Source organism: Homo sapiens, chromosome 17, assembly GCF_000001405.40.
Source record: "Homo sapiens chromosome 17, GRCh38.p14 Primary Assembly".
NCBI classification, from domain to species: domain Eukaryota; kingdom Metazoa; phylum Chordata; class Mammalia; order Primates; family Hominidae; genus Homo; species Homo sapiens.
In genome coordinates, this window is record NC_000017.11 from 11,621,304 (window position 1) to 11,634,402 (window position 13,099).

The 13,099-nt window shown below is 43.7% G+C and overlaps 1 protein-coding gene across 5 annotated transcripts in view; it reads left to right on the forward strand.

The window, feature by feature from the left end:
* Positions 1-13,099, forward strand: part of DNAH9 (dynein axonemal heavy chain 9) — a 371,279-nt gene that overhangs the window by 22,834 nt on the left and 335,346 nt on the right. For 4 of the 5 annotated variants that reach the window (XM_011523703.3, NM_001372.4, XM_017024294.2 and 1 more), the window contains exons 7-8: positions 8,114-8,281; positions 11,284-11,400. In XM_011523703.3, the coding sequence (XP_011522005.1) occupies positions 8,114-8,281; positions 11,284-11,400 (285 nt within the window). The remainder of the gene's footprint in view (positions 1-8,113; positions 8,282-11,283; positions 11,401-13,099) is intronic. The other variant, XM_017024292.3, reaches the window with a different exon arrangement.

Sequence of the window (13,099 nt, forward strand, 5' to 3'; positions counted from 1 at the left end):
AGGCTGAGGCAGGAGAATCGTTTGAACTCGGGAGGTAGAGGTTGCAGTGAGCCAAGATCGCGCCATTGCACTCCAGCCTGGGAGACAGGGCGAGACTCCATCTCAAAAAAAAAAAAAAAAAAAAAGACAAGAGCCAGAGGGACAGGGAAGGAACAAGAATCATATTCCCAGCTGTCATGAGCAGGTTTGGAGGAAAGAGAGCTATGCTGGGAGGAAGCCATGATGAACAGAGCAAACCATGGGAGGACAAGGACAGGAGAACGTAAGATTGGATCTGTTATCAGTTCAGAAAGTATTGGTTCAGCATCACCATGTGCCAGGCACGGAGCTAGGAACTGAGATACAAAGACGACTGAAATGCGATTTCCCTGTAAGAGGCTGGTGGACCTGCAGCCACTGCAGGAGAAGGAAGACAGACTAAAGGACGAGATCCGGGAGGAAAGACACAGAATCAGGAAAGTGGGATATACTGACTGCTATCAGAAAAGTGAGATTGGGCTGGGTGCGGTGGCTCACGCCTGTAATCCCAGCACTTTAGGAGGCCGAGGCAGGTGGATCACAAGGTCAGGAGTTTGAGACGAACCTGACCAACATGGTGAAACCCCGTCTCTACTAAAAATACAAAAAAAAAAATTAGCCTGGTGTGGTGACGTGCACCTGTAGTCTCAGCTACTCAGGAGGCTGAGGCAGGAGAATCACTTGAACCCGGGAGGCAGAGCTTGCAGTGAGCTGAGATCGCGCCACTGCACTCCAGCCTGGGGACAGAGCGAGACTCCGTCTCAAAAAAAAAAAAAAAAGTGAGATTGATGTGTTACTGGGAGCAAGAAAGAGGGGTCTCTAGCCCAGTAGGACTTTGACAAAAAGTGGGAACACAAGAGAAAATCAGTTGTGAAACTGGAGTGGGAATTTGCCAGGGAAGACAAAGATGGGAAGGGCATAAAGAGAGAAAATGCGTGAGAGAGAAAGCCAGAAGCTAGATCTTATGAAAGGCGCACCTTAAACCCTTCATCAGGATCACAGAGACTATAAATAATTGATTATCTAGCTTTATCCTAAATGCCTCTTTTTCCCTCAGCCGTTTCCATCATGGTTGATGTACAGCCCTTCACTCCTCCTGCACTCTGTATTCCTCTCATATCCACCACCAATTCCTTTGCTGCTGTTTAGTGAGAGGTGAGGGACACTCCAGCCCCAGCCCATGCCTGGCCTGGGCTGACCACGAAGAACGAATTTCCATCACTGCCTGGCAGCGGCCATGTTTGCAGATGCTCCAGCCCTGCAGATGGCCCTGGGAATGGTAGCAGAGCATGACCCCAGGCCCTGTGCACACATGCTAATGATTTGACTTTGCATATAGACAGCTATTCTAACATCAGGGCGCCTAATCTGCAGGATATGTTCAGTAAATATAAGCAGTGATGGCCACCAGCCTCCCTAGCGTCATTACTCTCACAATAAGTCCTTTCTCAGGCTGCTGCTGCTTTCTGAATCAAGGGCACAGGTGCATAAAAAGCAGTTGCCCCCATTTAATTAGAGGATGACATGAGTGTCACCAAGCTCCCTGCCTTGCTGCCTCTCATTCTCTTACGTGTCGTTCTGTCCTTGGCTCTGGTTAGCTGCTTTGCTCCTGTGCCCAGCTGCTCCTTTTCTTTTCTTTTCTTTTTCTTTTTTTTTTTTTTTTTTTCTCGAGATGGAGTTTTGCTCTTGTTGCCCAGGCTGGAGTGCAGTGGCACAATCTCGGCTCACGACAACCTCTGCCTCCTGGGTTCAAGCGATTCTCCTGCCTCAGCCTCCCAAGTAGCTGGGATTACAGGCATGTGCCACCATGCCTGGTTAATTTTTGTATTTTTAGTAGAGACAGGGTCTTTCTGTGTTGGTCAGGCTGGTCTTGAACTCCCAACCTCAGGAGATCCACCCAGCTTGGCCTCCCAAAGTGCTGGGATTACAGGTGTGAGCCACCGTGCCCGGCCAGCATTTCTTTTCTTGACTGTGTTTCCCTCTCTTTCCCTTTGTCTAATTCTTCCTCCCTTTTCACTTGGTCCCCCTTTCACTTTGTTCTCCTTCTCTATTTTCTAACTTCCCTGACCTCTTTGTTTGCCCTGAATTTCCATGTGTTTTCATCTTCCCACGGCTACTCCTTGCCCCTTTTCCTCATATTTCCTCCCCTCTTTTATTTTTAATCTCCCAAATGTCTGCTTAGATGCATCGCCCTTGCCCTTTGCCATCTTCCTCCTCCCCCAGCTCTTGCCTCCTGAGTCTGTGCAGTGGAACACAGGACTATCAGCTGTCCTCTGGCATATTTCATGTAGGCCTTTAGTTAATATTCTGTGTATCTCTGTGATCGATGCCTGATTGAAATGGGATTAATCTGCTCCTCTCCAGTAAGAATTATCATGAACTTAGCCTTATTCATCTTCTATTCTAATACAATCTATGGCCACTGAGATGATGGTAGCTGCAATTAATAAATACATGAAACACCAATGTGTTTATCTCTCTGCATGCTCTCGTCACGGGTTAGAGTGTGAAGGGCTGGTTTTTAATCCCCACAATTCTCCCAGATTTCATTTCTCTGATGTGAGTTGCTTTTTTATTCTTTCACTCTTTTTGCACAAGAGAATTTTGTTGTGCACATCCACTCTTCCTCTCTGGGTGCCTGCTAAATGCCAGAGGTGGGGCTGGCTTGGAAGAAGGGGTATACATTGCCCAGTATTTTTCGGTGTCTGCAGTAAGTGGAGTAATTGCATTTTCAGGATACCACCATTCTCCTCTGCCTTCTTATCATAACCATGATACAGGTAATCTCTTAGAGATTTAACCCTTGTGGAGGGAAGAACAAGGAATAGAAAACTAAAAAATTAACATGTTTCAAGAACCTATCCCATGCCAGAGCCTGTATCCTTGCAATCATCTTAAGAACTGGGGCCGGGTGCAGTGGCTTACGCCTGTAATCCCAACACTTTGGGAGGCCGAGGTGGTGGGATCACCTGAGGTCAGGAGTTTGAGACAAGCCTGGCCAACATGGTGAAACCCTGTCTCTACTAAAAATACAAAAATTAGCCGGGCATGGCGGCATACCCGTGTAATCCCAGCCACCCAGGAGGCTGAGGCAGGAGAATCGCTGGAACCTGGGAGGCAGAGGATGTAGTGAGCCGAGATCGTGCCACAGCACTCCAGCGTGGGTGACAGAGCAAGACTCCATCTCAAAAAAAAAAGAAAAGAAAAGAACTGGGTATCAGTATCTTTTCTTTAACAAATGAGCATAACTAAATCTGATACATAAATGAGCTCACCCATAGTTACACAGGTTGGAGAGGTGTAGCTGAGATTTGTACCCAGGGGGACAGCTGGTTCCAAGTACTGTCTTTGCACCAAACTTTGATATCCTATAGGGAGTTGTGAAGGTCTGTTTCCCTCCTTCCGTCCTTTTCTCCCTTCCTTCCTTCTTTCTTTCCTCCCACTTTCCTGGTTTGAGGATCCCAAACTGGTTTTGTGGTTTTATTCTGCCCTTATACACTCTGTTCTACTTTTGTACACTCAATTTTTGCCATACAATTTCTAGGTCTTTATATCAAAGTAAGTTACTCAGGTACAATTATAATTCCCATTTCATGAAAGGATCTTATTTGACTTTATGACTTACTAAGAAAATCCCAGAAGTATATAAAATCTTTGCAATTTGAATGAGCCATCAAAGTTCAAAGAGAAAAAGAGTTGTTGGGTTGCCTCTTGATTCCTTCTTTCATCCTGCCTTCCTGCTTGATGCATCAGTGCACACACACACACACACACACCGAGTTCATTTTTGCGTCATAGAGTTGTAGATTCTGCAGATCCCCTGTTTGAGTTTCTGCCTGCAGCCTCTTCCCTCCAAACAATGCAGTAAGCACCTTGGCGAGAACTCTCATTTCCTTTATTATAAAACTGCTATAAAGCTGTGATTCATTTGGAGACAAAATGATTTCCTGCTGAGACTTTATGCGAAGTGATTAGCAGGTACATAGGTAATAAGCTGACCTAATATCCACACCGCGTTTCCTTTTGCTCTTTCTACCATCTCCAGCCACTCTGCAGCCTCCTTTCATTCTGAGCCGAATTGGGTATCTTCCCTTTTAGCCCGGCTTGAATATGTGGTCACATAGGAGACCATTGGCCACATAAGGTCAGTGGCGATCAAAAGGTAAAGAAAACAGTCTTTTTCCAAATGACCTTTTGAGATTTTCATCTATGAACATCTGCTTTGTGCTCTCCCTTAATGAATTCCCAAGGTTCTTCTTTTAAGATGGGCAGCGTGGCCTCTCCTTTGAGAAGGGGGTTGCTGTTTGCAAGTCTTGCTATTACCCCTGGTTTTGATTCTTCATCTCAGGGGCCAGAGCACATATTGAATCCTCCCCACATCCCTGCCACCTGCCACCACCATTAAGTGCTGCACGGTTTTTTCATAAGAATAGAACCTGATCAGTCCAGTAAGCGGCCTGGTACCCCAGTGTTCCTTGTTCTGTCTTGAAAGAAGCACCCAAATGTCCCCTCTGTACCCCATTACACATATAATATCCATTAACCCGATCTAATGACATCAGAGTGATCATGGTTAATTATAGTGGCTGCCTTTTAGTGAAGTCCTACAGGGAACCTTCCATAAACTTGGTAACTTCACAGCAACTTAAGTGTTATTGTTCCCATCTACAGGTTAGGAAAGTGAGGCTTAGAAAAGTTAGGTGTCTTGCTTTAAGCCACATAGCTAGTAAATGATGGAACCAGAGTTGCGTAAACTCAGGGTTTTTTGTTTGTTTGTTCTGGCCCTAGATCCTAGGCTCTTTCCACAATGCCATATGTTGTGTCTCTGAAGTGGATATTTCAGCCGGTGTATAACATGATGAATTTCGTGTTTAGTACTGTGATGAATAAAAATAGATATTTAAAAAATATCATTTAAACTTCTTATTGATTTAAATTGCCTTTTATCTGTTTTGTGAGAACTTTTAAATAAACAATGAAAAGAACTTACATTTACATAATTTAAGAATCGAATTATTTTGATTCTTAAATCAAAGATTTAAGGCTAATCAAAGATATAGCCATGGTCAATGCCATAAGTCTGGTGTCTATAGTTGTAAGACAATTTCCTAGCTGCTTCAGAAATCTTTTCTGCTATGCCTCCAACATCAAACTTATTAAAACCCCTTCAGCGATGGAGAGCTCCCTCCCTCTCTTTGTAGCCCATTCTACAGCATTAGATGGTTTTTTATTAAGTGAAACCACAGGAAATGGCCATTTTTTAGGTCGAAATGATCCCGTATCAGCAATGTAATAAGTTCAACCTGTATGGTGAGGTCACATCTACTTCTTTGTCCCATTCACTCATTTGCCTTCATTCTGCCTTCACTGTAGCACCAGGGAAGGTTCCCCCTTGCACTTGACCAGGGTCCTATGGACATTGAAATGTCCTTCCTTATAATTCTCTTCTCTTGTCTATTTTTTTTCACCAACTGCTCTTCAGATGTCAGGGTTCCTAGCTCCTCTATCACCTTGCTGCTTTTTTTTCTGGAAGTATTATAGGCAAGTCAAAGAACAAACAGCATACATTCTTTCACTCAACAAATGTGTTCAGGGTCAGGGACTCTTCCAGGCACTGGAAATACCGAGATACCTTTGGGGCATTTACAACTTACTGGACAGAAAATAAGCAAATAGTATAATATAATGCCAAATAATATAATTCCAGAGTGTGATAAGCGCTCTGAATAAGCAGAAGAAGGGAATACAGAGTCTGGGGGAAAGCTGGATGGGTGGATCTCTTTCCACAGAAGGGTGAGGAAAGGCCTAAGACCTTGAGTTGAGCCCCAGATAAATCTGTTGTCCACCATGTGTGTGTTGTTACATAAAACAATGTAAGTATCTATCTTTTTAAGTGACCAGACTTTCTCCAAAAGTAGAATAGTTAAATAAATATTTCGCTAATATCTAGGATAAATTGAAGATCAAACACCTTCCTGTCACCTCCCTAGACCATGCTTTAAGTATTCTTGAGAAATAAAATAGTCTAACAAAATTATCATCTGGGTTTCTGATGTAATCAAACATATCACAACGCATCTACCTTTTAAAATGGTACGAAGTATTTCCTAGAAATTGAAATTGACATCCACAGAATTATGACGAATGAGTACCAAGGTTGCATTTCACAGCACAAGTATGACTGTCCCTATAAAACAGATTACAACTAAGCACTTTACGAGAGACTTGAATTACTACTGAAGTCAATTTCATTTCCATAAAATTCATTTCGGTTTTCTTCCCAGTATATCAAGTTGAATCTATTTTTGAAGAAAGACTGCCACTTTTCCCACCATTAGTGGCAAAAGTCCCTCCCTGGTTTTGGCATCTGTCTTCCCTGCCTTGGCTGGTGTCTTCCCTCTTCTCTCCCCTCCCACTTCAGCTGCTTCCCACTAGCCATGCCCAAACATACATAGCTGAGCAAAAACAGGCTTGTTAGATGGCTGCCCAAATCTGCGTGGGTACCCTCCTTGCCAAGCAGGGAAAGTCAGCCATTGTCCCCACTTCCCAGCGCCTCTGTCACTGCTGCTGGAGTTGGTGTGTCCCAGCAGGAAAAAGGAGCCAGGCAGCCTGTGCCAGCCTGATGGGTCACCCATAGCAGCAGCCATGGGCAGTGAGATTTCCTGCAGTGGTACCAGGACCTGCTGGATTTTACAGCATCGGTGTCATGGTGCACCCCTTAAACCTCCAGAGCAGAGGATCCCTCCCACAGTCCACACCAAATGTTGGCCAAAATGACACAAAGGGAACTTTTACTGTCATCTTTCCTGCCTAAGGAATGTGCACACAAATTGGAAGTCATGACAAGAAACATATCTTGGTTTGGAGGTTTTGTGATTTTTAGATACTCACAAGAGATAAATTCAATCTGTCCTGCTAGACGTGCTCAGGAGGAAGCTCCAATCCTATCGGAGGTGAGGCAGCTTCCGTGGACTCAGGAGGGGATCCTCCCCAAGGCTTCTGGGTTGCGCCGTCCACCTGTCATTGGATCTCAAGCACACCTGGGACACTGCCACATTAATAACAGCGATGATACTGTGTGTGCAGGCCTGGCCTAAATCCCAGGCTTGAGTTAACTGACTTAGCACTCAGCATCATGCTACAAGGTGTTATTATTATTCTGCAGCAGATGAAGAAGTGCAGCACAGAGCTGGTAAATAACTACTCACCGCCACCTGGCTGGCGGCAGGGTGTAACATCCTATGCACGCCCAGCGAGGGCGCCCTGCAGGAGATGTGTTTGCTTGGCAGACAAGTTGCAAAGAAGGCCGGTGTCACCCTCTGGGCATGTCTTCAGGACGATTTTGCAGCTCTGTTTTTCCGTCAACATCCCTTAGGATTGCTGTCATTCTAGAACTGGATAACATGATCCATTTGAAATGAGCTATTTTAGAGAAATCAGCGATAAAGCTACCAATTATATAAATAGTTTTATTATTGTTACATTTTATTATTTGTTAAAGACCACAAAGACATAGAGAGGTGGAAGCATACATTTCACTTATTTATGTATGTATATATTTATTTTGGTTTAAGTGAATTTTATTTGACCATACTTTCTCTTTGCTTTGTTATTGAGTTTAACCAAGAGTTATTTTTACCAGCCCGATCTAATAATAAGGTTATGAAACTAATCAGGCTTCACAATTTCCTAAGCAACCACCGCCCCCATGGTTTCCAACTTTTCTCATTCACTGTTGTTATGATCATGATGATGATTTTAACTCTTTTTTTTTTTTACTTCTTTTTTTTTTATACTTTAAGTTTTAGGGTACATGTGCACAACGTGCAGGTTTGTTACATATGTATACATGTGCCATGTTGGTGTCCTGCACCCATTAACTTGTCATTTAGCATTAGGTATATCTCCTAATGCTATCCCTCCCCCATCCCCCCACCCCACAACAGTCCCCAGAGTGTGATGTTCCCCTTCCTGTGTCCATGTGTTCTCACTGTTCAATTCCCACCTATGAGTGAGAACATGCGGTGTTTGGTTTTTTGTCCTTGCGATAGTTTGCTGAGAATGATTTTAACTTTTTTGTGAATTGTCCCCATAGGGTCTTCTGAAGACGGCCCTGGATTTCCACAAACTGGGAAAGGTGGAGTTCAGCGGCGTCAGAGGGAATGCTCTGAGTCAGCAGGTCCAGCAAATGCATGAAGAATTTCAAGAGATGTACAGGCTTCTCTCAGGATCCTCCTCCGACTGCCTGTACCTCCAAAGCACGGTAGGGTTGGGAAGGGCTGAATCGCCAGCTCTGCCTCTGTCCCGGATGCCTCTCATCTGTAGGGTCTAGGTATTTACTTGCATTTTCCCTGTGTATTTCCTTTGGCTCTGTGGTCCCAGTGGTTTTGCTAATTATCCTTTGTGTTAGGAGAAATTATTATTCCTTGTGCCAAGAGAAAGATTCTAATTATTCTTTGTGTTGGGAGAAAGATCAAGGAGGCCTCTTCCAACTGTTAACTGCTCCAGACTAATGACACCAGGGTTTCAGAGATGCTGAGGTGGGTATGACATGACAGTGGAGGCGGTGGCCACCCTGTGGCTTCAAACGTTTTAAGCTCAGTGAAAGAAGCTAGACCCAGAAAGACAAATGTTGCATGGTCTCAACTATATGAGGCATCTGAAATAGTCAAAGTCATAGAAGCAGAGTGGAATGGTGGCTGCCAGGGGTGGGGGAGAGGGAAATGGGGAGGTGGTGGTCAAAGAGTATAAAGTTTCAGTTATGCATGATAAATAATTTCTGGAGCTCTAACGTACAACATGGTGAAGACGGTTAACAATACTGTATTGCAGGCCAGGTGCGGTGGCTCACGCCTGTAATCCCAGCACTTTGGGAGGACAAGGCGGGCAGATCATGAGGTCAAGAGATTGAGACCATCCTGGCCAACATGGTGAAACCCCGTCTCTGCTAAAAATACACAAAGTAGCCAGGCGTGATGGCGGGCGCCTGTAGTCCCAGCTACTCAGGAGGCTGAGGCAGGAGAATCGCTTGAACCCGTGAGACGGAGGTTGCAGTGAGCCGAGATCGCGCCACTGTGCTCTAGCCTGGCGATAGAGGGAGACTCTGTCTCAAACAAACAAACAAACAAAAAACTGTATTGCTTTGCTGTCTCACTCATAAGTGGGAGTTGAACAACGAGAACACATGGACACAGGGAGGGAAATAACACACACTGGGACCTGTCAGGGGTTGGGGGACAAGGGGAGGGAGAGCATTAGGACAAATACCTGATGCATGCGGGGCTTAAAACCTAGATGACGGATTGGTAGTTGTAGCAAACCACCGTGGCACATGTATACCTATGTAACAAACCTGCACGTTCTGCACATGTATCCCAGAACTTACAGTAAAATAATTTTAAAAAAAGAAAAACTGTATTGCGTACTTGAAATTCGCCAAAAGGGTAGATCCTAAGTGTTCTCACCACGCACACAAAAAGCAAATGGTAACTGTGTGAGGTGATGAATATGTTAATTAGCTTGATTGTGGTGATCATTTCACAGTGTATACATGTATCAAAATATCAAGTTGTATATCTTATATGTATACAATTTTTATTTGTCAATTATAACTTAATAAAACTGAGGGGGAAAAATGTTTTAAGCTTCGGGCAAAAACTGCTAAGGGAAGAACAGGCACACCTGGACAGAATTTTATTAGTGACTTGGGGAGGTATAAGTGAAGCCACAGCCTGGGTTTTCTGATCTGAACCTGGTTCCTAACAGAACACATAGGATAAGGAAAGGACCAGAGAAGCATTTTCCAGGACAGGAACAAAGAGCCCGCATCTCACCTGTAGCCCCAGGAAAGCCTCAACCTGTAAGTCCACATGCATGGGAGAAAAAAAGAAGAAAAAGGGCCAGTATGAAAACAGAGAATGGAAATCCCAGAAAAAGGAATGGCAGAATTACTGGAGAAGGAATTTTAAGAGTGTGTGCGGGAAAAGGAGAAAGAAATTAGGGCAGGAATCTGCTCTGAGCACCTTCAGACATCCAGGGGAATCTTAGTTGGCCAGACCCAGGAAGATTCTACCTTCTAAGAATTCTATTAGTCAAAAGTAGACCCAAAAAAGGTGGACCGTAGACTATCCTGGCCAACACAGTGAAACCCCGTCTCAATTAAAAATACAAAAAAATAGCTGGGCGTGGTGGTGCACACCTGTAATCTCAATTACTTGGGAGGCTGAGGCAGGAGGCTTGAACCCGGGAGGCAGAGGTTGCAGTGAGCCAAGATTGTGCCACTGCACTCCAGCCTGGGTGACAGAGTGAGACTCTGTCTCAAAAAAAAAAAAAAGCAGACCACAAAGCAGGCTATATACAATGTATTTGCTACCCTACAATACAGTAAAACAAAGCATAATCCCAGGGATTTTGCCCAGAGAAAAAACTAAAAACTAAGAAGAAACATGCCAAAATGTCATCATGTTTGGGAAGTAGAACTAGACTATTTTTTCATACCCTTTTTTTTTCACACACACATGCGTTACTGTTACAAAGCAATAATAACAAATAATTCCACAAATTAGAGATTGGCGTGACCAATGTTTCTCTGAAAATTGCTACGTGCTAAGAGAAATACATTAGGGTTGCCAGATAAACTACACTAATTTGGACATACTAAAAAAAAAAATTCTTGTTTACCTGAAATTCCAATTTAACTGAGTGCCTCGTAGTTTTATTTGCTAAATTTGGCAATCTTAAGAACAAGGCTAGTTGCTGTCTTAACCAATTAAGAAGGATTTAGAAGAAATTGTTTGTATTAGTTTAATTAGCTTTCTTTCCTCCTAATGGCTAGATTAGTTTGCTGACAATGGAAAAACAGAATTCTGACTTGGGGAAGGAACGAAAGTGGGTGGTAAAGTTGAAATAGCCCCATTGCTGGGGCTGTTGATGCTGCGGTGGTTTTCAGGGTTATGTGAGCTGGTGTTATGAGTGAGAGAGAAGGGGCTTCAGGAAGCAGAACGGAGGAGCATGGAAAGGGTGGAAGAACACCAAACTCACATCTAATTCATTTCACCATCTTGCTGGAACCCTCTAGGTAAAAATGCTGCAACCACAGGGTAACTCTACATGGCTAAAAATTAAGTCATGCCATGGTGAATTTCAGAAAATTAAAATAATTCTTTGGTATAACCAGTTCAAACACAAAAGTTAGCTGTGAGGAGCATAGTGGGGTTGGCTTACAGAAAATTACGTTTTCCTTATATATATATGGTGTCTCTTCAGGACTTTGAAAATGACGTCTCTGAATTTAACCAGAAAGTAGAAGATCTTGACCGAAGATTGGGGACTATCTTTATTCAAGCTTTTGATGATGCACCTGGCTTGGAGCATGCCTTTAAGGTTTGTGTAAATGGGGCAGGAGCCACTCGGTCCTGGATACTCCCCCGGCCCTCATCAGAGGATGATATGGATACCTTTCCACCTGTTCTGTTCCTGCAACTATTAATTATTCTTATTAATCTAGTAGAGAAGGATATGGGAATCCTTCTTATATCAAGAAAGTGTGCAGAATTGGGATTCTCAGGCTAATTACTTATGCTTTCCTGAAAATGTGACAATGTAAAAATACTTTTAAGAAGAATTTCTGCGGTGATCTCTTTAGGTGCCATACCTTTAGCAGTAGGGAAAGTGTGACCATGCAATACCATGGCTATTTAACCATGGCTGCTAGGTTGATTCAATCTGGAGCAAACCACCTCCCAGGTAATGATTGATAGGTTTCAGGCATCGATAACTGGAATAAGAAGATTTGTGCTCTTATCATATCACGCTCAGATCAGGTAATACAAAGTGTATGGAGGAGAAGGTTTAGGACAAGGCGTAGATGATGCATAGGTAAATGGCTGCACAGCTGAGAACGCTGCATCGTGAGACATGAAGACTCAGTGGAGCATGATATGTGTTCCACCAAGCAATCAAGAGGCTTATTCTGTAAAGCTTTAAGGGTTCCAGTAGTTGGTAGAAGTTACAAGAAGTCACATTGTGGTTCAGTAGAGGAAAGAGATTTCTGTCAAAGCTGTTTAAGATGGAATGGACTTCTTTAGCAAGTAGTTCAGTTTCTGGGCACTGAAAATGTTCAGACACAGGATCTGTGATGGGTGGGACAATTGTAGAAGAGGCTTAAACCCTGGATGGATGGATCTGTGCTATTCTAGAGTATTTGGTAACCCAAATGCGGCAGGCTCCATTAGCCATTGACCATACATATACATGTAGCCTTTAATCAATACCGTAATTCACATTGGAAGCCTTTTGAGATTCCCCTCTCCAAGCATTTGAACCAATTCCAAAGAAAGGGCTTGCATGTGTCTACAAAATGATCATGTATGCTATTAACTGTCAGGGATGATTGAAACTCTGCTGCTCAGGCAACTTGTGGGGCTGAAACTCCATTCGTGCACTAAGGATGCCCAGACCTACACATCACATAGATCCCTCTCTACCAGAGATGTTCAGGAGTCTTCAAGGGATGCCTCACAAGTATTCTCAAGCCACTTTGAAGTCTTTGAAATCACGACATCTGCTACATGTCTACAGACCCCCTTTAAATTTTATCTGCCAAGAAAAGTGCTTGAAGGAGTCTTGCCATTGCTTTTCTTCTGATGGTCCCCACCATGAAAACATGTCTGTGTGTGCCAAGGGCATGCCTCTTTGGGTTCCAGAATTCCAATCCTTGAAATTTTATGGGTTCTGGACAGAAGTAGAGGGAGACCTTCCCTCTACTGAAGCAGCACTGCTTGTACCCAGAGTTTCAGAGGGCTCATAAAAGCAGATTATTTATCTTCTGACCTTGACTCTTCTTCTCAGCTGAGCTTCCAGCCCAGGCCTTGGGAACTAGTAGGAAAACCATAACCCTCCGATCCCTTCTGCCTACTTTGTTTCTCTCTTTTTGGTGATCTCACCAACAAGAAACTAAAACCCTTCCTTCATCCCCAAGCAAAAGCAAAATCTCCAATTGACATAAGCTCATGCAGAGAAGAACATTTTCAAGGCTGGGGAGTAGGGACCAGAGAGAGTACCTGACTCTAGATCCCCTGTT